This window comes from Homo sapiens, chromosome 2 (genome assembly GCF_000001405.40).
Source record: "Homo sapiens chromosome 2, GRCh38.p14 Primary Assembly".
Lineage (NCBI taxonomy): Eukaryota > Metazoa > Chordata > Mammalia > Primates > Hominidae > Homo > Homo sapiens.
In genome coordinates, this window is record NC_000002.12 from 26,988,550 (window position 1) to 27,015,155 (window position 26,606).

The following is a 26,606-nucleotide window of genomic DNA, read 5'->3' on the forward strand; positions in this document are numbered from 1 at the left end:
GCAATGTAAAACTCATGCTTTGCCCTGACTCAGCTTAATAGTCAGTCCACTGACTGATTAACAGTGACAAGAACAGTGCTGGTAAATGGGGAAATCGTGTGTGTGTTCTCTAGAGCGGGGTTCTCAAGTGTAGTCCTGCTGCTGACTCACCAGGAAAGCCAGCGAAAAATGCAGACTCTGAAGCCCCAGCCCACAACTGTCCCTCTCTGAGGGTGGCCCAAGGAATCTGCATTAGTAATAGGCCAGTCACCTATGTGTACCCTAAGTTTTGGGAACCTCTTCCCTAGAGGGGGTTTCCTCCTTGAGGTATGTGGAGTTGATCTTGGCTTGAAAACCTTTACCCAAAGCCAAAAGTGGCCCCTGACACTCCTTGGCAGAAAAACTCTCCTGCTTCTCTCTTTGTATCCCCTTGGACGCAGAGAAGAGTTGTGCTCCAGCTCAGCACCTCTGTGTGTGGTGAAGTCCCAGTTTATTATTCATTCTTGCTGCCCGACAGGTAGACAGCATCACCACCTCAGCTTTTTCATAATAGCCACGTAATTCCAGCACCAATGTATCCCACATTGATAAAGAAGCCAAGCCTTGGAATGCCACCATTTCACCTTTCACTGTGTGATGGCATTCTGAAGTTTTTCTTGGCACTCGAAGAAGAAAAGGCTATGTAGAATTTCTGATGGCTGTTTTGCAGAACATCCAGAAACACCCGCTAGGCTCCAAAGCCCTAGGCAGTCCCTGTTTAGTTGTGGTCAGGGAAAGAAATGACTCGTCTCTGCATGAGCTGGGTGCTGTGCAGGATGCTTTCCATACACTGCCTCGATTAATAAGAAAGTGATCCGGAGTCCGTGCAATGCAAGGGAAAGGACAATAACAGCAGAAACTGAATGAAAGGCAGGCTTGAATTCTGTTCTGAGCTGTGGTGTGACTCATCAGGGTAGGAAAGTCGGTTCCCCAGTGCCTCTATGTATCCTTCTGTAAAATGAGGTTATTGCTGTTCCCATCGCCCAATCATCAGGTCAGAGTTGGGAATACTTTGAACTTCCCAGATGAAAGGTGATATAAAACTACAAAGTGAAGAGCTGGTGTAGAGGAGGGTGCTACAAAACTAAAAATGAGATGGCTAAGTGACAGCAAAATCTAAGGATGTCAGGATGCTCCACTCTGCTGCCAGGAGACTCTCCGGACTTCGTTTGCCTTGCTTGTCTTATGAAGGATGGTGTGAATACTCGCTATCACATAAGGAGGGGCAGCCTAGTGTGGTGGTTAAGAGAAAAGACTTTGGGGTCACTGACCTGTTGAATCAGAATATTGAGTTAGGAGATGGAGAAGCTGCAGTTTTAAGAAATTTCCAGCTGTGTGTGGTAGCTCAGGCCTGTAATCCTAGCACTTTGAGAAGCCGAGGTGGGACGATTACTTGAGGCCAGGAGCTCAAGACAAGCCTAGACAACATAGTGAGACCCTGTCTCTACAAAAAATCTTAAAATTATCTGGGTACAGTGGTGCGTGCCTGAAGTCCCAGCTACTTGGGGAGCTGAGGCGGGAGGAACGCTGGAGCCCAGGAGTGTGAGGCTGCAGTGAGCCTGAACCATTGCCCTCCAGCCTGGGCGACAAAGCAAGACTGTCTTGAAAACAAACAAAAAATTCCCAAGTGATTTTGATGCAGACCAAAGTTTGAAGAACAGTGTAGCTCCCCTGGACTCCTGATGGTTCCCAAGGAAGCTGTGTATTTCCACACCCCCTCCTATGCGCCCCATGCTCTCCCCGCTCCCTGAGCCGCTTTCCACTCAGTCCTTCCTATGCATGCATCAGAAGCATCATCTTTTGGGTTTGCTTCCACTAAGTGAACTCCCACTCTTCCTTCAAAACTAGGTTACACATCACTTCTTGCCCAAAACTTTTCCTGAACCTTTGCAGAGGAATGAATCCTTCTCAGATACCAAAGAATACCATGCAACCATCAAAGAGAATGAGGGATGGAAAACTAACCATATTTTTAGAGGAGAAAAAAAAACTCACAATATTTCTATTTTGATTCAGTTTTTCTTAAATGACTGTACAAATAGGTATATATAGTTTGAATATGTATATAGAAAGGTCTGAGGAATATACATACCTGGTAACAGGAAACTTTTAAATTTTATGCACCTCTGTGTTTTTTAAATCTACATACTATTTTTATAATTTTTTGAATTTAATAACAATTAGAGTAATTACCAAGAGAGTAATTGCTTAAATAATTACAGGGAAGAATCAACTGCTGTTATAGCTCTAGTATATCATGTTATGGTTGCATGTGTCTTCCTGCACTGTTCAGCTGTGAGCTCCTGAATGGCAAGGCCTTCAGGCTATTCTGCCTGTCACCAGTGCCCAGCATTTCCCTGACACTCAGTGGGTGCGCACCACGTACTTACTGAACTTAAGAGATCCACGGCCGGGCAGTCTCATGCCTGTAATCCCAGCACTTTGGGAGGCCGAGGCGGGCGGATCACGAGGTCTGCAGATTGAGACCATCCTGGCTAACATGGTGAAACCCCGTCTCTACTAAAAATACAAAAAAATTAGCCAGGCGTGGTGGTGGGCGCCTGTAGTCCCAGCTGCTCTGGAGGCTGAGGCAGGAGAATGGTGTGAACCGGGAAGGCAGAGCTTGCAGTGAGCCGAGTTCGTGCCACTGCACTCCAGCCTGGGCGACAGAGTGAGACTCCATCCCAAAAAAAAAGAGATCCAAACAGATTGTAGGGAAGCTTAGTCAATCAGTCCCAGGGGAGGTCGGGTCTGCCACTGAGGTACAGCCTGTGGTCAGTTGGTATGTCTGGTCCTAGTGGAAAGACAATAGCAGGAAGGAAGTGATAGTGGTGGCTGGACCAATACTGCCTACAGCCTCACCACAAAAGAAACAGTTTGGTGGTGGTGATAGGGAGAAGAGGACTTTGTTGGTGACAATTGGCTACAAATGGTCTGTGGGTCACTGCCGCTTGCTTTCTCAAATCCCTACTCCAGTTCTATCAGCTGTGTCTGCCTGCCCCGAGGTAGTCCCTACTCTTTTTCTAAACAATAGAATTCCACATTCATTTTATAGAGCCCCACATAAATAAAAGAAATTGGCCTATTTTCACACAGTTTATCTCCTTTCTATTTCCATCCCTTCAGAATCCTGTAATCATGAGATTGCCTAAATGGTCTCTCTGGAAGGCCCTGGCAACGTCTAGGCACGCATCCTGTCTTGCATTTGTAGATCAGATTCTCAGACTCCAAATTGGGCCAGATGTAAATGGGTAACAACTGTCTGTGTTCTCTCTATCCCACTAAAAGCATCGGGCATTCCTCCTCTCCTTCTCTTATTGAAATAACTTGCGTAAATCATGCTAGACTTTGCACCTTGACCTCCTTAGGCCACACGTGGAAATTGATTCCCTGCCTTTCACCACCACCACCACACACTCATATACTTTGTGCCAGATTCCTAAGAGAGATTGAATGTGTATAATTTTTTAATCTCATGATTTTGGAAAATCAGAAACTGTTACTACTCCATAACTAAGGGAGAAGAATAAAAGAGGTATGTTCATATTTATTATATTTATATCTAAGTGCTATAGCAATACCTTTTGACAAAAATATACTTTTAAAGTCACATTTTAGGAGAAGCGTAGTACTCATTCTCACTGACTAATGTTACCAGATAATTTTTTTTTTTTTTGAGATGGAGTTTCGCTCTTGTTGCCCAGGCTGGAGTGCAGTGGTACGATCTCATCTCACTGCAGCCTCCACCTCCCTGGTTCAAGCGATTCTCCTGCCTCAGCCTCCCAAGTAGCTGGGTTTACAGGCATGCACCACCACGCCTGGCTAATTTTGTAATTTAGTAGAGATGGGGTTTCTCCACATTGATCAGGCTGGTCTTGAACTCCCGACGTCAGGTGATCCACCCGCCTCAGCCTCCCAAAGTGCTGGGATTACAGGCATGAACCACTGCACCCGGCCCAGATAATTTTTTTTTTTTTTTTTAATCCTGACCTATACTAAGAGTTTGGAATGGATATTTGAGGGGAGGAGAAGACAGGTCACTCAGCAAACATGAAGCACCTACTTCAGCCATGCTTTGGAATTTAAAAATGACAAATGTAAGATACTGCCTCATCCCTGCCCTTGAATTCATGTTATAGTTTTAACACACCCCACTGCAATCATGAAATGTGGTATACATTCCATAAAACTAGAATCAAATAGGATCAATTGCATCTTACTCATTGATATCCTTGTGAAGACTGTGTAGGCCAGAAGTGAGAAGATGATTTGAAACCCTTCTGTTTCCTACATGGAGTGTTGATTCTGTATAATGTGTTGCTTCTCTCCTGAGAAATCCAGTGTTCTGTTTTATTTCCTATTGCACATGTTGTACTTCCATGCCCTTTTTATATTCTGCTACTTTCCCTAGTTTCAGTTTAGTCATAGGGATTGTATAGCTCCCACTTTTCCTTTCTCTGGAAATACCATGCATGTTTTAACTGGAAGACCCTGATGAGGTAAAATATTAGGACGTTATTAGCCAGGCGCAGTGGCTCACCCCTGTAATCCCAGCACTTTGGAAGCCAAGGTGGGCAGGTCACCTGAGGTCAGGAGTTTGAGACTAGCCTGGCCAACATGATGAAACCCCATCTCTACTAAAAATACAAAAACTTAGCCGGGAGTGGTGGTGCACACCTGTAATCCCTGCTACTCGGGAGGCTGAGGCAGGAGAGTTGCTTGAACCCAGGAGGTGGAGATTGCAGTAAGCCGAGATTGCGCCACTGTACTCCAGCCTGGGCAACAAGAGTGGAACTCATCTCAAGAAAAATAAAAAAAATTAGGACATTATTAAAATAAAACCAGAAACTGGTTTGTTAAAGCTCCTTTCTTAACCATCTGTTCTATCATCAGTCACTTCAGGCTGTTTGGTGTCAAAATTACAGAGTCCCCCACCATATTACACCAGTTTCTCTACTTAGAGCTAAGTCCTTCTCCAGGTCACAGAAAGAAGTTGTTCCAGGGATAGAAAAAATTCCTGTTGAGGGAAAGTTCTGGGGAGGTCGGGAGGATGTGTAGCTCCTGCCTGATGTCCCTAACACTTCAGGTGGTGACTAAACTCTTGGTATGGATGTGACTCCCTCCCCATGAGATTGCCAGGTTGAAGACCAGCTGAGGAGTCATCTGCCCCCTTCTCAGCCTTACCAACTCGATTTTTGCTGGATTTAGGAAATAGGACAGTTCTGGTTCTTTATCCTACTACTGTAGGCCCTACTTGGCCATGACCATTGATTGTGTCCAAAAGTTCATGCCTGGCAGGAAAGCAAGAACTCATGATGGATGTCTTGAGAACCATGCTTCCTTGAGTAGGAGATGGCGCTCTCCCCCCAGACAGAGACTAATTGAGAAGACTGACATTAAGGAATGCTACCAGAATACCCCAGAATTTGACTTGAGCCCTAATCTTTGTGTGTGGGAGCTGTCCAACATTTCAGCATACTTTTGCATTTGCCTACTTTGAAAGAAACATGATAATAATCTGGCTGTCTTGACTGTTTTACTGTGTGCCATGTTCTGAGGAAACTGACACAATTCAGGATCTAGTCTCTCAGGTATTTTGATCTGATAACTTAATTATCAGCTTTTCTTGAGGTCACCAAGCCCTGAGAAAACTGACTTACATTTATTTGCTTAGGCACATTTGTACCAGAAAGTCAATTTAATAAATATACTTCTTCCCTGTATCATGGTGGCTTGAAAATCAGAAAGGTAATCAGAGCTTGATTTATAAGCATGAAATCAGAGCAAATACAGTTGGAAGTTAAGAAATTATGTGTTATCCACACCATGGTTCAAGCTTGATTAATTCTCCTCTCTCTACCAGAGGAGACATCATTCATCCTAGTGACCAGAATACCAATTCCAGCTAAGCAGAGTGGTCCATTGGACAGTGTTACAGTTGCACTAACATAGTTTTCCTTTCTAACTATCTTTTTCTCTAGATTCCATAATAAGCCATCCCCTTTTTATAATTGCCATTACAATCAGCTTCTACATCATGACATCGTTACAGTTTGCCAAGTTTGTAGCTTATTTTGCACTGATAAATTTTAAGTAAGTCCTGCTCTGTGACATCTAGGAAGACATTGTAGTTTTATTTACAATATCTCCAAATCACTCTATTTCTCCTGATAGGTAATCCTGTCTATAACATGTAGATACTTATTAACTCATTAGCAGGGATTGGCAGACATTTTCCTTTCTTCTTCTTCTTCTTCTTTTTTTTTTTTTTTTTTTTAAGAAATGAGTGATGTCTTACTCTGTCTATCACCCAGGCTGGAGTGCAGCAGCAGGATCATGGCTCACTGCAACCTTGAACTCTTGGGCTCAAGTGATCTTCCTGCCTCAGCCTCCCGAGTACCTAGGACTACAGGCACAAGCCACCATGCCCAGCTAATTTTGTTGTTGTTGTTGCTCAAGACGGAATCTCACTATGTTGCCCAAGATGGCAGACATTTTTTGTAAGGGCCAGATAGTAAATATTGTATGCTTTGCTGGCCATATTGTCTCAAGTCAAAACTACTCTACTCTGCTGTTGTAAAGTGAAAGCAGCTATAGACACTAGGTAAATGAATGGGTGTGGTTGTGTTCCAGTAAAACATCTTGACCAAAAGGGAGGCTCTAGCTCATAATTTGCCAGCCCCTGCTTATTAGTCATAATCACAGAGGGGACTCTATTCTTTCCTGGTTTTGCTGCAGTCCTATTTTGTCCTAGATATTAATAGGTTGTTTAAATCTTCAAAAGTAGTTTCCACTCTCCCCTAAAAGAACTCAGAATCCTCAGAGAAATGCCTTGCTTCAAGACCGAGGCAGGGAAACTGCAAGTTGATCCTGGAACAAATTATTCTTCTAGAAAGTAAGGAACTTACCAAAGAATGATGGGATGTGTCAACAAGACTCAAGAGCCAGCTGTAAGGGGCTCCCACTGTGGCCACCAATACTGGGACACTATGAACATCAAAATAAATGATAATAATGTATTATAACCCTTTGAATAAAATAATCATCTATGAGTTTATACTGGCCTAAATAAATAAAAGAAAAAATAAATGGAGGAGGAAGGGATAGCTTTTCCTTTATGATGGAGTTAAAAGTTAAGAACAGTTCTTAAGTAGGTTGGAGGCCAAATCAGAATGGGGACTTTTTCAAATACCTGAGGGTCTTTCTAAGAGAGGTGTGTGTGTGTGTGTGTGTGTGTGTGTGTGTGTGTGTGTGTGTGTGTGTATGTGTGTGTGTTTTGGAAAAGCTCCCCACAAGATACTAATGGGCCTTTTCTGTTTGGGGACTACTGATATTCCGGCCACAGAAGACAGTGGAAAGATAGCAGAGGGAAGTATGTCTTCAGCTTGCTTGGCCCATTCATATCTGCCTATCGCCTCTATTCCTTGTTATCCTCATCAATCTATTTGGCCATCTTGGAACCTGGTGTGAGTCCAAAAGGAGGAGCTCCTGCTTCTGGGGTTTGTTCTTGGGTACCCATAGAAACAGATGAGACATTAGAAGATAGGAATTTTATTTTATTTTATTTTATTTTATTTTATTTTATTTTATTTTATTTATTTTTGAAACAAGGTCTTACTCTGTTGCCCGGGCTGGAGTACAGTGGTGAGATCATAGCTCACTGCAGCCTGGATCTCCCGGGCTCCAGCTTGATCCTCCCCACTCAGCCTCCCGAATAACTGGGAATACAGGTGTGCACCACCTTGCCCCACTAATCTTTTTTATTTTTAGTAGAGATGAAGGCCTCACTATGTTGCCCACACTGGTCTTGAATTCCTGGGCTCAAGCGATATTCCTGCCTCATCTCCCAAAGTGCTGGGATTACAGGTGTGAGCCATCACACCCAGCCAACAGGAGTTTTCTTAACTAGCAGAGACTAACCATACAAGGTTTCCTTGTTAAACCCTTCACCAGGGCCGGGCGCGGTGGTTTAAGCCTGTAATCCCATCACTTTGGGAGGCTGAGGCGGGCAGATCATGAGGTCAGGAGATCGAGACCACAGTGAAACCCCGTCTCTACTAAAAATACAAAAAATTAGCCGGGCGCCGTGGTGGGCGCCTGTAGTCCCAGCTACTCGGGAGGCTGAGGCAGGAGAATGGCGTGAACCTGAGAATGGCGTGAACCTGGGAGGCGGAGCTTGCAGTGGGCCAAGATCACACCTCTGCATTCCAACCTGGGCGACAGAGCGAGACTCCATCCCAAAATAAATAGATAAATAAATAAATAAATAAAAATAAACCCTTCACCTGAGGAACAGAAAAATACCTGGAGGGAAAGTATCTAGTGAAGAAACGGCTCTCACTTTCCAGGGGATCTTCAAGAGAGAAAAGACAAGCCCATTAGCAGAGAAATTAAAGTCAAGTTGTGAAGTAAGCATTTAAAATATTTTTATTCTATTTTGAACTAGTGTAGATATCTGGAGACCAAAGTTGTAAAATACATGATATGTGATCCCTGACTTCAAGGCACTTATCTTTTTGGGAAGATATTTGAAAAAAAAATTAAATGGCAATAGTAGAAATTAGCAGTCCCCAACCTTTTTGGCACCAAGGTTTTGTGGAAGACAGTTTTTCCATGGATGGGGTAGAGGGTGGGGGTTGGTTTCAGAATGAAATTTCCACCTCAGATCATCAGGCATTACTTAGATCAAGCTTGTCCAATCCGCAGCCCATGGGTCGCATGCAGCCCAGGACAGCTTTGAATGTGGCCCAACACAAATTTGTAAACTTTCTTAAAACATGGAGTTTTTTTGTGATTTTTTTTTTTAGCTCATGAGCTGTCCTTTGTGTTAGCGTATGTTATGTGTGGCCCAAGACAATTCTTCTTCCCGTGTGACCCAGGGAAGCCCAAAGATTGGACAGCCCTGAGTTAGATCCTCATACAGAACACGCAGCCTAGATTCCTCAAATGCACAGTTCACAATAGGGTTTGCGCTTCTGTGAGGATCTGGTGCCGCCGCTGATCTGACAGGAGGTGGAGCTCAGGCGGGAATGCTCGCTGTTGCTGTGCAGCCTGGTTCCTAACATTCCACGGACCCGTACTAGTCCACAGCCTGGGGGTTGGGAATCCCTGGTAGAAAGGATAGTTTGGTAATCCCTGGTAGAAAGGATAGTTTGGTAACTTAAATGTTGTGTAGCAGGGTACATATATGCTTAATCCTCAAGTGAATTATGTAAACTCAATATTCACTAAATGTAGAGGAGTAAGGAATTGCTGAAGGCTAGAGAGGTCAACGAAGACAGAATAATAGAATTGTTGCATCTATTAGAAGGGACCTTAAGAAGTCATCTAAACATAAAATCTCAGCTAGTCCAGCCTTCAGTCTGGTTCTTGACCCCGATAGGGCATGCCCACAGGGTGTCATCAGCTTGAAGACCTGCCATGGTGGGACCTCACCCTTTCCTGGGGTAGACATGCTGCCTTTAACCATGTTAAAGCTGTCAGTTAACTGCTTTAACTGAAGCAGTACTGGGAATGTTTGTCTTCAGTGGGTCAACATCTGTTTTTCTGTATCTTCAACACTTTGGTCACAGTTTTACAAACGCTGTGGTCACAGAAAATAAGTGTAATCCCTATTCTTCCTCTGGGCCCTTAAGTCATTAAAGGCAGTTCTCATGTCATGCTGAGTTTTTCTTCTGTCTCTAAGCTAACCCCTTAGTTTCTCCACCAGGTCCTTGGCTGACCGAGATTGGAGCATATCCACTCCACTCACTGTCATGGTCTTTCTCTTTAAACAGGCCTGCTTGTGAATGTTATTCTAAAAGTTTGCTGCACAGAACTGAAGTCAGTATTACAGGTGTCATCTGACAAGCCCAGAGGGGAGGAATATTATCACTTTCCTCATTCTAGAAGAAGGACTTTATAACCAGATATCTAGTTTCAAATCAGTTCTGTTCTCACTGGCTGTGTTACCTTGAGCATGTTACCTAAGCTCTCTGAGCCTCAGTTCAGTTCTGCTAATATCTGAGAACATTCTATGTGCTGGACACCATGCCATACAATAGGGCTGAAAAAAATCCCAGCCCTGGGGAAGCTCCTAGTGACGTGGAAGAAATAGACATACTTCTGTGTTAGAAGTATCTCCACACAGTATTACAGAAGTACCCAGAAGGCTAGGCTAACCCAGCCCAGAGGAACAGGCTGGGAGTCAGGAAAAACTTTCCAGGGGAGTTGACACTGGAGAGAGTACATGCCAGTGTAAAATCCTTATGTCTTTTGCACACAGTTTTGCAAACCTTATATCTTCTGCCAAATATCTTCCATTTGTTTTTTAAGATACAAATGCAGAACCTAGTATGTGTTTATTTGGAGTGGTTTAGCTTCTTCCTATAGCCTGTCACAGCACTTTGGAATCCTGATTCTGTCAGCTAGTGCTCACAGAAATGGTGGGACATGAGCTTGGCCTTGAAAGGAGGAGAGCATTCCAGTACAAGCCAAGGCGGGGAGGGATTCAGTATTAGGGAGACTGGCAGGAGGAAGAACAACAGTCTGACTGAAGTGAGGGGCTTGGGGTTGGAGACATCAGAGAAAGGGTTTGGGGAAGAAGGAAGTGGAATTGATCCTACAGATGTTTGGTCTTGATCCTACAGAATAGAGATATAGAGAGCCATTGGTGCTTAGGGGAAGGGGGTAACTAAAGCAGTGTTTTTGGAAAGTTTGTCTTGCAATGAGTAGCAGGAAAAGTTGAAAGAATAGGGACCAGAGGCAGGAATACTATCCAGTCACAAAATGGCAACAACCTGGACAAGGATGATGTCAGTGAGAATGGAAGGGACAAGATGAATGAGAAAAATCAATGACTTGATGACAAGTTGGCCAAAGCAAGAGAGGCAGGATTAGGGTCCAACTACATGCACTTTTTTCTTCTTTCTTTCCTTCTTTCTTTTTTTTTTTTTTTTTTTTTTTTTTTGGGATGGAGTTTCGCTGTTGTCACCCAGGCTGGAGTGCAGTGCAGTGGTGTGATCTCGGCTCACTGCAACCTCCTCCTCCTGGGTTCAAGCGATTCTCCTGCCTCAGCCTCCTGAGTAGCTGGGATTACAGGCATGTGCCACCACACCCAGCTAATTTTGTATTTTTAGTAGAGACGGGTTTCTCCATGTTGGTCAGGCTGGTCTCGAACTCCTGACCTCAGATGTTCCACCTGCCTTGGCCTCCCAAAGTGCTGGGATTACAGGCGTGAGCTACTGTGCCCAGCCCAACTACATGCACTTTTAATGTGACTGACATCTCATAGATTTTTTTTTGGCAGATTTTTTTAACCATTTTAGTGGATAATACAAATTTGAAATACAAATTAGTTCTAATATTTTACCATAAAACATTTCATTTTTTCCACATTATCATTATTAAGGTTTCCATTTCAATTCTGAATATAGTTCTCAATATTTTACAACTGCAGTAAGGAAGAAAAAATATTGTTTTCAAACTACTTATCTTTCTACCAATTCTCAGTTGTTGGTTCTTAAAAAATGACTTCACAAAAATTTTTAAGATGCTAATAACAAATTTCCACTTAAATATATGGATGGCTGATTTTACAAATAAATGTACGGGTTTGTGTTACTATTATGCTCTCCCTAGATAACAAAACAATAAAAGAAATTTTAGTAATATCAAGTAAGTACTGACCAGGTGAGTACTGTGAGACAGTGTCATGAAAAGGTTCTTAGGGGTTGAAAGACATGGTTTCTGCTCAGAGGACTCACCGCGGAGCAAAGGAGAGAGACCCGTGGACAGATAAGTACAAGGCAGGCTCCTGTGAGAAATGACAGAGGTATGAGGCTGTGGAGGCCCAGAATGTTCTCCATTATGACCCGATGAGGAGGGAGGAGGGAAGTGGAAAGAGGAACAAGGGTAGAAGAGAAAGGAGAAAAGTGAAAGACTTAAAAACAAGGAGGGAAAAGAATGAAGAAGAAAGAGTTACAAGGAAAATAACTTGCCATTTTTTACACCTAATAATGTATGAAGTACTTTCAGATTGGTTATTTCATTTGATTCTGCCAAGAAGGCAAGAGATGAGAGACAGGAGGAGGAGGAGGGAAGCAAGGCCCATGACCAGGAGAAGGAGCTGCACCACAAAGAGCTCAGAGCCCCTCTGGCCTCCTAGGCCGGTGCAGCTGCCGGTGTCCGCTGGTGAAGGTGGACCTCAGTGGCCCTAGTTAGAAGCCAGTGGGACCTTGTAAAACCAGGGCTCCAGCTGGGAAGTCTGAACCTCCTGGACAGAAAGCAACAGAAGCCTTAAAGTAGTTATCTTGGCAACTATTGTCAAGGACTCATTGCTGCCTGACCACAAGATTTATCCAATTATTTATCTACCTTGTTTTATTTTTTAATATTTTTTTCTCATCACGAAAGTAAGACATATTCGCTGTAGAAAATTTTGAAAATTCAGATAAACCCAAATATGAAAATAAAATCCCATATAACCGTACCATCAGACAGAACCACAATTATAATTTTAGAATATACTTCACATTTTTCTTCAACAACTGTTGGTATATTTTTGTTCTGTAATACAATCATACATTGCTTAATGATGGGATACATTCCGAGAAATGTGTCTTGTGATTTTGCCATTGTGCAAACATCATAGAGTGTACTCACCCAAACCTAGATGGTATTGCCTACTACATACCTAGACTGTATGGCATAGCCTATTGCTCCTAGGCTACAAACTTGTACAGCATGTGACTGCACTGGATACTGTAGGCAATTGGAACATAATGGTTAGTATTTGGGTATCTAAATATATGGTCTGGGTATGGTGGCTCATGCCTGTAATCCCAGCACTTTAGGAGGTTGAGGCGGCAGGATCACTTGAGTCCAGGAGTTAGAGACAGCAGTGAGCCATGATTGTACCACTGAACTCCAGTGTGGGTGAGACAGAGTGAGATCCCATCATTCATAGATAGATAGATAGATAGATAACTGATAGATAGGCATATAATTGATAGATAGGTACGTAGATCTAAACATAGAAAGGGTACGGTGAACTATGATTGCACCACTGCACTCCAGCCTAGGAAACAAATCAAGACCCCTTCATTAATTCATTCATTCACTCATAAATAAATAAATGCATATATACACACATACGTACATACATGTATACATACATACATTAAACAGAAAGGGTACAGTAAAAATACAGCATAATCTTATGGAACCACTGTCGTACATGCAGTCTGTTGTTGATGTAAACATTGTGATGCGGTGCGTGACTGTGTTTTCCCCCGGCTTCATGGACTGTAAACATCTTTCCATGTGTTTTATCAATTGGGATTGTGTTTTGAAACAAGTAACAGCAAACCCTGTCAACAGTGGCTTGAACAAATAATGGGGTATTTTGCTCGTGAGGCAGGAGTCTGAAAGTAGGAGGTCTAGGCTAGTGGAACAGCTCAAGGACGTTGCCAAGGACACTCCTGCTGTCTTAGGCGGCTGTGTTGCTTTACGGTCTCAAGGTGGCTCTTAACTCTCAGGGAGGCTGAGAAAGCAGGCATTTTGTGTTACTGGCCTCTCTATTGGAGACAGGTAAGGAAGAAGGGTGTTGGGATGGGAGCTGAGTCACCCAGCCAGCAGTGCCAGCATCATTACATATTCTAGAACATCCCTCTTTTCAGAGTGGCATTGTTTGGATGTGTCACAATTTATTTAACAATTCATTGTTGGACATTTCGGTGGTTTCCAGTTTTTCATTATTGTAAACATGCTAATATCTAAAGTTTTACACATATCTATAATTAGTGATTCAGTATAAAATTCCTAGAAGTGGAATTAAGGTCAAAGAGTATATAAAATCTAAAGGCTTTTAATCTTTTTTTTTTTTTAACCAAACTGCTCTCCAAAATGGCTGTACTAAACTATATTCTCACCAATCATGTTTAAAAGAACCCATTTCCCTGTACCCTCAAAACCAGGTTTTTTGTTCTGTCATTAAGCTGTTATACCATGCCCATTAGTGTGGGTTTAACTTTGTATTAGCCCTGACCAGACTCTGAACTGCCCATCTTGGAACCCAGAGCAGTTGCACCCTTCTGTGTTGCACCTGGGGGTGTGGGTCTGCAGGCTGTCCTGTATGTCCAGGCAGGCTGGTGGGGCCCTTGTGCTGATGGGCACTGCAGAGGACCCATGATGTTTCTTGTGAGCATGCACCTCGCTCATCTATTCTTGTTTTGAAAGTCCTTTCTGCCACTGTGAAGTCATCATTTGTCCCACCTGAGTCCTAATTCAAGGCCATCCTGGCTTGTCTTAGATTGAGATGCACCTGGGAACTGGCCTCTTTCGATACAGTGCACCCCACATCCTCACTCGTTGCTCTTACTGGCCTACCTCAGGTATAATGGCCTTACAGGTCTGTGTCATCATCTGTAACAGAGAAGGCTGAGAAGATGGTGTCAGTAGATTCTGGGGACATTTTAATCTATTAAGCTGCTTTTGAGACGTACTACAGTTTCCTGAGGAGGTGGCCAAAAGAGTGAGTGATCCCTATGCATCAACACTCTATGAAGTAATTACTAACTGGTGAGCAGTTAGCCACTACGTACGGCCCTTCTCATCCAGTGAGGAGTCAGCCATGGGTGAGACAGAAGGAGTCCCTGAACTGCAATCTTCTGGCCAGATTCTCTATATGCACACAGTGGTGTTTCAATATTCATGAGTGTAGGCAGATAGTCACGAGTAAACAAATGAGCAATGAATCCAAATGAGCAAGACAGGCTGAATGCAGAACACAGGCCAAAGCCCCAGACCACATCACTACCCCTCTAAAATCAGAAAAAAAAATCAGAATTCTGATTCCAGGAGGGAAATGATAAGGACTCTATTTCAATGCTCCCTTCAGGACCTTACCCTGATCTCTTGAGAGGTGACACCCTCAAGAGAGAAGCACCATCTTAGGGAATCAGCTGTCTACGAGCTTTTCTCATAGCCATGGCTTTACGCTTCTCTGTCAGTTACCATCACCACTTGGAAAGGGAAACTACAATTTATGAAGCATCTGTTATCGATCCAGCTAATGCTGGGAAGGTGATACCTGACCAGTCACTACTGTCAAACTTCCAGCTCACGGCTTCTACCCAGATCCCTCACTTTCCCCATGAGAGGGTGCTGCTCAGTATGGCATCCACAAAATCAGTCCCTCACACAACTTACTTATTTAACAATATCACAGTCCCCATCCCCTTCTCCTTACCTAATTTCATTGTTACCGGCCCCATGTCAAAGATTATTTAAAACTCCCCGGCTGTCAAAATTCCATTAACAACCTCTGACCTATAACCGTCACTCACTGAATTGACACGTGTGAGGTTCTGTGCGGATGCTCCACTTGAGTTAGCTTGAACCTTCACAACAGTCCGGCAGCATAGGTATTTTAGAATTATTAGTAATGTTGAGCATGTTTCACATGTTTGTTGGCCATTTACACTTCCCCTTCCATGAGTCATCTGTCAAGAGGCTCTGTGCCCACGAGCCATACACATAATGATGTCCAAAAAGCGCTTCTATTTTACTGTAAGAAACTCAGGCAAAGAGAGGCCGCCTTTGCCCAGAGGATCTCTCATGCCTGGGAGGTCGTGAGAGGCAGAGCTGGAGTTGGGTGCTGTGGAGTCCTTTTCACCACCTTTTTCATGCACCATGCTGCCCGTCCACATAGCTCAATGTGCCTGTTTATTTCTTAGGAAATACACCACAGGGCTACTATTTAGGTAGTGCAATTAAAGTTTACTTTCTGAATTCTCTATTTCCCCTATCTTTAGCAGAAAACTTGGGAAAGCCTAAGTCATTTTCCACTTCTTAGCCCCTTCCTCCTCCCCCTCATTTTCTAGGCAAAAATATGATAAGAGAGTAGCTTGGATAATGTCTAGCTTTGTTTTGGTTCTCTGGTGATGTGAATTTTTCCCATTGTTACCAAACTCCCACTTTTTCCACGTCGAAATACATTTCATGATAGCTGGAGTATGGCAACAGCACTCCTGAGTTACAGGCATGCGCCACCATGCCCAGCTAATTTCTATTTTTGTAAAGATAGGGTCTCACTATGTTGCCTAGGCTAAAACCTTCTGATAAGGATATTTTCTAGTATCTCATGTTTAGAGCAAATTACTAGAATATCAAGGATCTAGTAAAAAAAAAAAAAAAAAAGTAAATGCCATGGATATGTCTGGGATCAGTACAGATTTATCCCAGGATACTAGATCTTTAGTAGAAGGCATGAATGGTGAGAATTCCTCAGCAGGATTTCCGGATGTTTGTTAGACATGAGCACACAGATGACTTGTGGGTTCTCAAACTCGACAGCCCAAAACAGTTCACAGAAGAGTAAATATATATGGGTAATAAACATAGAAATATGTTCTCCCTCACTAGTAATCAAAGAAACATTATTTTAAAGATAAAAAAATACTTCTCTTTCAATCAACACACTTTTTAAAATAATAACAATGTTGGTGTTGAAATGAGCACTCATAAACTTCTGGGGAAAAAATGAAAGGTACAGCCTTTATGGAAGCTGTTAGTCCTTAAAAAATATATCATGCCCTTTGACCCAGTAATTCCCTGCCCAAGGAAGTAGTCACAGATTTAGACAAAAATTGAATGTTCAAATATATTAATTCCAGGACTATCAAAAATCAAAATGCCCAGCAACTAAAGCTAATGTAAGGATAGCATGGAATATTATGCCCCATGGAAGATGATGCTTCCTAATATCCTTAATTATTCTTTGAAGTGTCCACAGCATAATCTTAAGTGAGCTCGTGGTCTTCACTGCACTCTCAAACCTGCTCTTCCTGCAGTTTTCTCCATCCTTCCAGTGGCTTGGGCAAGAAACTTTGGGGTCATCTTTGACCTCTCTCACATCTCATAGTGCTCTGCAGCAAATCCTCAGTCCCACATTTTGTAAGATTCTCCCTACTTTCCAGGCCTTCTGCAAAGCATGAACTGCAAAGGCTCGAGGAGGAAAGAAAGCAACACTGAACTCCCTTGAGTGGTTAGGGTTTTGGTTCCTAAATTAAGGCACAGTTTTCCTTTTCCTTGAATTAATTATCTAACTCTTCCTCCTAGGGCAGAATCAATGGGCCAAATGGCCTCATTGAGAACATGACATCCAAAGGGAGAGTGGCAGGAGTCAAAGTATTATTATAATGAATAGAAATAGGTGAGGGAGAAAGTAATGGGATTTCATTGGTGGCAACCCTACTTGCTGAGAATTGTTGTATATTTTCAGTGAGCAACAAATATTGTACAGCATGGAGGACCATCAAATTTAAAAGAGACCTTAAAACCAAGAGTGTGTCGGCCGGGCGCGGTGGCTCACGCCTGTAATCCCAGCACTTTGGGAGGCCGAGGTGGGCGGATCACGAGGTCAGGAGATCGAGATCATCCTTGCTAACACGGTGAAACCCCGTCTCTACTAAAAATACAAAAAATTAGCCGGGCACAGTGGCGGGCGCCTGTAGTCCCAGCTACTCGGGAGGCTGAGGCAGGAGAATGGCGTGAACCCGGGAGGCGTAGCTGGCACTGAGCCAAGATTGCACCACTGCACTCTAGCCTGGGTGACAGAGCGAGACCCCGTCTCAAAAATAAAAACAAAAACAAAAACAAAAAAAAAACAAGTGTGTGGAAGCCATTAGCTTAGCTGCTGTGGCTATTAGACAAGTAGGCTTTGCCATTGGGTGAAGAGAGACTTAGTAGACTATTGATGTCTGATAATTCCCATTATTGGGGAGGAAATGTAATTTCTTCTTAACCTTCATAAGTTCATAGTTGGGACAGACCCCTGTAACAAAAGACAGATCAGCAAAAGAAAAACAAGCAAAGTTTTTTTATTTTGTTTTTCTCTTCAGATACAGGGTCTCACTCTGTCACTAAGGCTGGGGTGCCGTGGCATGATCACAGCTCATTGAAGCCTTGAACTCCTGGGCTCAAGCAATTCTTCCTCCTCAGCCTCCCAAGTAGCTGGGACTACAGGCATGTGCCACCACGTCCCACTATTTTTTTTAAAATTTTTTGTAGAGACGGGGTCATGCTATGTTGCCCAGGCTGGTCTTGAACTCCTGACCTCAAGCAGTCCTCCCGCCCCAGACTCCCAAACCACTGAGATTATAGGCATGAGCCACCATGCCTGGCCAAGCAAGTTTATTAATGTGTGGAGGGCACAGAATGCAGGAGAAACCCCAATGAAAGGCAACTTCAAGGCAGTGGCGTCAAACTCTGGCTTATATGCCATCTTCAGAAAAGAACAATACATTTGTAGAGAAATAACAGGACAGAAGAAAGCAATTTTAGGCTTCCAAAAGGGGGAAACTGTGGGAAGTTAGATACATGGGAAGAAACCAATGGTGTAAGGTTTGTTTACAGATTCCTCTGGTGCTGTGTCTGGGCTGATAAGAACTATCTCCAGTAAAGAAGAATTTATATCCTGTCTTTAGGCAGAAAAGCAGGAGAATAGAGCTCATCCTCTATTTGCTGCTCTTTAATTACTTTTAGCTCAAAAATAAGTCAAATAGGCATATTTTGGGGTGACATATTCTGGTTTTCCTTTACCTTGAAGTTGAGTCATAACACCAAAGGTTCGTCTATATCTTGCATGTACAAATAGGTAGAAAGGTTTATGCTAATTAGGTGAGCCCAGATTGGCAGGTTGTTGAAGGGCTAATTTAACTCACAAAAGGCCTTTTCGTGTTTAGAATCCCAAGGAAGAAGTTTGGACTTGGTTAAGTTATCCTGTGATTATTTTAGAAAAGTTGTAAACCTGCTATCCTCATTAGCCCGGATTCTTCTTAATTGTGTCTTAGAAGTAATTGGGAAAGTTTTGAATGGCCTGTGGTCTGTCAGAAGTAAAGGATTTACTGCCCTGGGATAAATTATGTTCTGCATAACGAACTTTATTTTGACAATATTTTAGTTTCCCTTTGAAAACCTTATGCCCTTTCTGAAAGAAAACAGTAGATAGCTGGAACAGTCTTGGAGCTTATCTTTAGAACACAGCAAAAGGTCATCCACATGTCAAACAACAGTAGAATAACAGATATTTAAGGTCCTTGAGGTTGTCATTCAGGACTTGTGAAAAGTACAGAGGGGGCCCCTGTTAATCTTTGGGGCATCACAGTCCAAGTATACTGTTAATGTTCCCAGGAGAAGGCAAACAAATATTGCCTATTTTGATCTAAAGGAATACTAAAAAAAGTAAAATACATATCTACAACTGTAAAATATGCAGCTTCAGGAAGCGCTGGAGATAAAGAAGTATTTGATTCTACTCAGAGAATGACTATTCTATTTATGACCTCAAGGTCCTGAGCAGATGTCTATCCCCACCTATTGAGTTTTTTGACTGGGAGGGTAGGGATGTTACGAGGACTTGTTTAAAATATGATGAGTCCTTTCTCTATCATGCTTTTGACTATCTCAGTCCTTCTTTAGCTCTGGTTTAGAGGGTATTGTGCAAGTTTGGGTAGAAATTTAGATGGATGTTTCTGAATCTTTATGGATTCAGCCCCAATAATCCTACAGACAATTGGATGTTTGAAACTTTGTCCTCTTTCTGTTCTAAAGTGCCTCTCAAACAATTTTGTTCATCAAAGCTTCCTTGACTAGTGACTGTAATTCTAAATTATCCTTGGTGAAATTATGGCATCTGGAAAAATAAGGCCACAAATTTTAGTGATAGCGTAAATGCATTTAAGAAGCGAGAGTCTTCTGGGCTGGGCACAGTGGCGCATGCCTGTAATCCCGGCTACTTGGAAGGCTGAGGAGGAGGATCGCTTGAGCCTAGAAGTTCAAGACCAGACTGGGCAACATAGTGAGACTTCATCTCAAAAATAAATAATTAAAAATTAAAGTTATGAAATTTATTTTAAAAAGAAGAAAAAATCTGAATTTGGATTTTTTGGAGGGAAAAAGAAGCAGGAATCTTATGAAGCAGGAGTACAGGTTTAGGATTAAACTGAGACAAAGCCATAATTCTAGGAACAGTCAGTCCAGAGTAACTCAGGTTTAACTCCTCCTGCCCTAAGCAAATGCCTGGGCCTTCCAACTACAAACTCCAAGCAGATTAACAGTTCCTAGAGGACAGAAAGGTTTGGAGAGGAGAACTCTCCCAGAGCCAGACTTCCATGGACAAAGCAAGAGAAGACTGAGGAAAGTTCTCATAGGGTGTATTTGTAATCACCCAAAACTGGAGACAACCCTGACATCCTCAGTGGGTGAATGAGTAGACTGTGGTACATCCATACGTGTGCCATTGTTTGGAATACTACTCAGCAATAAAGAGGAACCATTAATCCGTGCAACAACTTGGATGGAAGTTAAAGGCGCTATGCTGAGAAGAAAAAAAGCCAGTCTCAAAAGGTTACTGGATGATTTCATGTATATAACGTTGACAAAATGACAAAATTATAGAGTAATGGGGAACAGGTCTGTGGTGGCCAGGGGATAGGGTTGGGGGGGAGGGCACAGCTATAAAGGGGTAGCATGAAGGAGTTTCTTTGAGATTATAGAACAGGTCTGTATTCTGGTAGGGTGGTGATTCCATGAATCCATCCATGTGATAAAATTTCATGGAGTATATGCCAAAAAAAAGAGTGCATGTAAAAACTGATGAAATCCAAATAAGGTCTGTAGTTTACTTACAAATGTGCCAATGTGGATTTCCTGGTTTTAATAATTGTTATGTAAGATGTTACTGGGGGAAGCTGGATGAGTAGACATGAAATACATGAGAATTATTTGTTCTGTTTTGCAACTGTGAGTCTAAAATCATTTCAAAGTACAAAAGTTTACAGAAAATTGGAGGGACTCTCTTGGGAATCTCTTCAGCTTTTACTAGAAAAGATAATATAAAATCCTCTGCAGAATTATAAATTGAATGCAGTTTCTAAGCACTGTAATTTCATTTGTTGTAATTTTGATTTGGAAATTATTTTAACTATAGTATTAGCAATATTTTGTATTGTTGACTAAAATACTGTGTACCTGAAAAGAAAATCCTCTGGAGAGTTTCCCTTCTAGATAAAATAACTCCTTAACAATGGCATACAGAGCTACTGGTGATGTGGCTTTCGTCTGCCTTTTTAGCCACATCACCTTCTGCCCCAGCATGACTCTGGGATGAGCTACTTGCAGTCCTTTCCTTCCTCCCCATGCATTCCCCTTTCCTCTTAACTCTTACCTGCCTGATGAGTTTCTCCTTCAAGACCCAGTTCAAACCATGTTTCCTTTACAAAGCTTTCCCTGATGCAGGAAGCAGAGTTGCTCCAGCAGCTCCTGTATCTGGAGTTGGAGCATGATGTGTTGCCCTTTGGTTATTTCGTTCAGTTGTCCAGCTCTCACCTAAGTTCATTAATTTCTCGAGGGCCCAGAGTGGGTTCATTTCTTCCTATAGGTCCTGTGCTGGCACAGGGGCTGGCACACAGCATTGGGTGCTGAAGCACACACTCCACAAATGGTGATGAGTGACTGATTGAATCTGAGGCTCTGCAATGTCCTTAGAAAGCAATTTTGTCTATTCTTCCTGCCTTAATACAGTAATTTTCCACAAAACCAAACATTAAAAAGGGCTCTGATTAACCACAGTTAAACAAAGTTAATCAATATGTACAACATTATTTTCCAAACATTCAACTTAGTTAAGACTTTATTATATAAACACATTTCTTATCTTGCTTTTCATTTGTGATACAGTGTTGTGAGTAGCTGGAGAAAGATCGTGAGTCGCACTCATGGGTCTTCTTGGACAGATAAAATCTAGAACTTGAGGGTAGGATATGGAGTCTGAAGGGGGATGGGTGAGATGTTGAGATAAGGAGCACAAGCCTACTTTTAATCTGTATTTCTTTTTTTTTTTTTTTTTTTGAGATGGAGTTTCACTCTTTGTTGCCCAGGCTGGGGTGCAGTGGTGTGATATTGGCTCACTGCAACCTCCACCTCCCGGGTTCAAGCCATTATCCTATCTCAGCCTCCCAAGAAGCTGAGATTACAGGTGCGTGTCACCATACCCAGCTAATTTTTGTATTTTTAGTAGGGGTGGGGTTTTGCCATGTTGGCCAGGCTGGTCTCGAACTCCTGACCTCAGGTGATCCACCTGTCTCGGCCTCCCAAAGTGCTGGGATTACAGGCATGAGCCACAGCACCCGGGCCCAATCTATATTTCATTTCAAATTTTAACTGAAAGAACCAAAATGCTCTCCACCCTGCAGGCAGTCACTCACTATCTACCTGAAGTGCTGCAGCAGACACACATGGCTGTGATGACAAATGCCTGATGTCCCTCTCCAGCTTCCTCCTGGGCAAGTGATCAAGGACTCCACAATCATCTGCAGGTCTAGCTGCTGTCCCCATACTCCAACAAAATGACTCAGAGTTTCATCATTTCTTATTGCACAATTTAATGACCATATCGCCACCTCTGGTCTGGTAGCTTCATTAAACAGGGCAGATGACCTCCTCTTTGAAAGTGGGCCCTCCCTTGGCTCCTAAGACATCACCTTCTCTCCACCTCCTCTATTTTCATCGCGTCCCTAACATTCCTCCAGGACTGAGTCATTGGTCTTATGCTCTTTTTTTAAAATAAAAGTAATAATAAATATGTTTCCCATGTCCAGAATTTCCCATTTTCTCCTCGCTGCTTTCTGGCATCCTGTCATCTTTAAAGGCCCAATTAGGTGCCACCTTCCTCCAGAAACCCTCTAACTGCTGATCCCCCTCTCATCTTTTTCATGTGCCTGGAACACTTAAAAGCCAAAGGTGCTTTCACTATTTAGCACTTCATATATTCTGCTTTGTGGCGTCCCTTGTTATTTTATAAATTACTCTTACCTCTTCAACCAAAGAAAAGCTCCTTAATAAAGACAAGACCCATGCCTTGAAATGATCCCATGTCCTCATGATGCCTCACTGGGTGTTGAGCATTTTGTCAGTGGTCAGTAAGCACTTGCTGGTCGAGATTAAGGCAATGCTAGGCCGGACCTGGTGGCTCATGCCTGTAATCCTAGCACTTTGGGAGGCTGAGGCAGGTGGATCACTTGAGGTCAGGAGTTCAAGACCAGCCTGGCCAATACGGTGAAACCTCATCTCTACTAAAAATACAAAAATTAGCTGGGTGTGGTGGCACACACCTGTAATCCCAGCTATTCGGGAGGCTGAGGCAGGAGGATTGCTTGAACCAGGGAGGTATAGGTTGCAGTGAGCTGAGATCATGCCATTGTACTCCAGCCTGGGCAACAAAGCGAGACTCCATCTCAAAAAAAAAAAAAAAAAAAGAAAGAGAGAGGTTAAGGCAATGCTGCAATGTCTTGAAAAAATAAGTATAAAGAAGAAAACTGGGCCAGGCATGGTGGCTCATGCCTGTAATCCCAACACTTTGGGAGGCCGAGGCAGGCAGATCACAAGGTAAAAAGTTTGAGACCAGCCTGGCCAATATGGTGGCCCCATCTCTACTAAGAATACAAAAATTAGCCAAGCATGGTGATGGACGCCTGTAATCCCAGCTACTCGGGAGGCTGAGGCAGGAGAATTGCTTGAACCTGGGAGGTGGAGGTTGCAGTGAGCCGAGATCATGCCACTGCACTCCAGCCTGGGTGACAGAGCAAGACTCCATCTCAAAAAAAAAAAAAAGAAGAAGAAGAAGAAATCCTCTGAAATTCCCTTTCCCTCCTCCTAATTCTCAAGGGGTGAAATCTGGGCAAGTCATCCTGCTCTAGAGCTGTGAAAAATCAAATCGTCCTTCCTGCACCAGTGTGGTGGTGTGGAAAGAGCATGGGATTTGTGTTCATTTGGCCAGGTTCAGCTCTGATCTTGCCAGTGGTTGATCTTGAACTTGGAAAAGTCACTGGAATCCTCATCCTTCATTTCCTCAAAAGCAAAATTGAGGTAACAACTCAAAGGCTTTCTGGAGCTGGATGCTGTAATCCACAAGAGTGGCATTTCTGGTGGGAATTTCGGGCACTATGGTAGGGCAGGAGAGAAGCTATCTGCAGGCCTTCTGGAAGCTCTCCAGTGCATGTCCCCACTGGGGTGGGGGCTGACTGTCTCCACGTGGGGTTAGTCCTGCAGAACAGGCAGGTAGAGTAGAGTCTGAGGGCATGAGGAAAGGCAGTCTACTGGAGAGGGCACAGAGAGTTCAACAAACACTGAAACTTAAGTTTGTCCTGGACATCTTCAGCATCCGACTTTCTGGTGGAAAGCTTAAAGTATAAATGACTGTGCCCTCTCAAAAGGGCACAGAAGTAAAACTGGGAGGATTTTGGGAGGGGACTGGATGTGGGGTGAAAGGTATGGTGAGAGCAGAGAAGAGGGGCCTGAGCCTGGGGTCAGGGGAAAGTAGGCTAAACAATTCACAGGATGCAGACATTTCAGAGAAGGGTGACACATCACTTGGCCCTGAACAACAACTATAAGCCAGACAGTCCAAAGAGACATAGTTCCAAAGGAACATAAAGTGACATGGCTTGTTATGTGTCCCCAGAGACATGGATGTGCTTTTGGAACTTGAAGGATAATTAAAAAAACATCAGACCCACCAGGGCTGCTGCAAACATGACAGTTCCCTTCCCAACACGTCATGGCAGCTGCTGCAGCTCCCTTCCCTCTATCCTGAGGCTAGCCACAGATGGGCCAGCAGCCCACCCCCAGAGCAGACCAAGCAGAGAGGTGCTCCCAGGAGTTACCAGGTTCCACTCTCGGAACCATCTTAAAATCCTGTTCTGGGAAATCCAGCAGCACCATGTTATATGCATTAGAGGGAGACTGTTTAAATCCCTTGCCAAGGTTCCCAAGGCTTCGTGCTGCATCTGTTTGCGTGTAGCCAGGGAGTGCAGCTAGCATTCTCCTCTCCTTGCTTCTCCATGTAGCCAGTGGCACCTCCTCAGGGTCAACAAACAAGAAATAAAAGCAGAAAACCACACTTTCTGAGTCCACCTGCCATCTGAACCCCCCAAACCCTAGTTTAACCTCTCCCATTCATTCATTCATTCATTCAATAAATATATAGGTACTGAGAAGCTATTGTGCACTGAGCCCTGAGCCAGTACTAATTGAGGGAAGAAATGGGCAACATAGCTTCAAAAGCACAGCTCTGTCTTTCTGCCTGAGGCAGCAGAGAGTGGATACCCAAGGCTGTCCCTACTCTCTCCCTGCTCAGGACCCTGATCAGAGGGTCTGTGGGAATTGGGTCAGGGTGCAGGAAAGAAGATGTTGAGTCAGATATGTCTATGTCAGTGATCTTGCCTATCAGTAAAGGTTGCTCAGCCCCCAAAGCAGCGTGATGGTGAACCTTTGGCTCCTGCCAGCGGTACTCATTATCCTTCCAACAGCCCCATGCTCAATCATACCATCATTCTGATGCTTCATGAGAACTGAGGCTTGGATATCTTCGCCTACTTGCTTGTGTCTCACAGGCAGCGAATGGCAAAGCCTGTAGCCAAGTCACACTGTCTGCCTTCTGCTGGGAGCCTTGGATTGATGGGTGACTCCATGGACATTTGTTGACCTAAAAAGTAGGTGTTTGAGGAACTGAAAGATCTCCAGCAAAGAACGTTTAGAAAGAAAATATTGCCTATCTGCCCACCTAGATGAACCCTACTGAAATGGATTGATTTTAGCGATGAGAAATTTTGTTTACTATACTGCAGGGTTTCCGTTAACCCTCGAAGTTATGGTCAGATAGGGTGACCTAGCCAGAACCTACCCCAAGGACTCCTTCCCTGGCTAGCAGCTACAGGGATGTGGCACCATTATCCCAACCAGCCTGGGGAGAGCCTTAGTAAGAGTTCAGATCATTATTCAGCAGGACATGTCCAGGATCCCAGTGGCTGGAACTTCAGCAGGGCTCAGGGTCTTAGAGTTGTGACCTAAAAGTGTTGTGAGAACAAAATCCTGGAGGAGTTTCAGTCCCTACCTGAACCCACAGCCGTCCAGATCCCTGTCCTGGATGTGTGGGAGGGGGCGCATGCTGGGCTCCAGGCCAACCCTGCAAATACTCCACTTGCCCCGTCTCTGCATTGATTAATCCAGCTTTGAGAGGCTGAGCCTCTCAATGAATCAGGTCCTTGCTCAGCCATAAGAAGAAGGTGATTGGCCAGGTCTGCCAGGGCTTTGTGACCCGCTGGCTTGCTCCCCAGCCCCTCAGAACCCCTCAGCCCCACCTGCACATACTGCCTCCATGCAAGCCCAGAATAACCTGGATGTGTGACTCACAGGGGTAGGGGTAGCAATTTTGCAGATTTTCCAAACAGGTGACTTCAGCCCCCGGGCCTGGGCAGGAAGGGGTAGCCCAGTGACAATGGGCATAGTCCCACTTCAGGAACGGGAAACGTGTTGGCTGGCTCTGTGGAGTTCTCTCTCTTCTGATCCCACAGCATCTGTTCCAGTTGTCTTGGCCGGTAGGATGGCGTCTACAAAGCAGGCTATATGGGAAATCTGGAGCTGGGGAGGGATTGTGGTCAGAGCCCAGCTTTGGGAAGCCCATGTGGCTGTCTCAAGGCAAAGCAGCAGAGAAAAGTTCTGTAGTCTGTCTCCTTTCTGGACTGGCATTTCCATGGTCTGAGACCAGA

The 26,606-nt window shown here is 43.7% G+C and overlaps 1 protein-coding gene and 1 long non-coding RNA gene across 5 annotated transcripts in view; one reads left to right on the top strand and one right to left on the bottom strand.

The window, feature by feature from the left end:
- Positions 1–26,039, bottom strand: part of MAPRE3-AS1 (MAPRE3 antisense RNA 1) — a 29,817-nt gene extending 3,778 nt beyond the window's left edge. Inside the window, exons 1-3 of the long non-coding RNA NR_149018.1 lie at positions 25,952–26,039; positions 8,323–8,371; positions 6,927–7,005 (exon numbers count right to left, since the gene is read on the bottom strand). This is a non-coding gene — a long non-coding RNA (MAPRE3 antisense RNA 1). The remainder of the gene's footprint in view (positions 1–6,926; positions 7,006–8,322; positions 8,372–25,951) is intronic.
- MAPRE3 (microtubule associated protein RP/EB family member 3) overlaps positions 1–26,606 on the top strand; it is a 56,583-nt gene that overhangs the window by 17,913 nt on the left and 12,064 nt on the right. The window contains exon 1 of one of the 4 annotated variants that reach the window (NM_001303050.2): positions 26,205–26,435. The exons of 2 other annotated variants lie outside the window; for them this stretch is intronic. The gene's annotated coding sequence lies outside the window, so the exon portion shown is untranslated. Of the gene's footprint in view, positions 1–26,204; positions 26,436–26,606 lie in introns of those variants that run through there. One more of the 4 variants, XM_047443728.1, reaches the window with a different exon arrangement.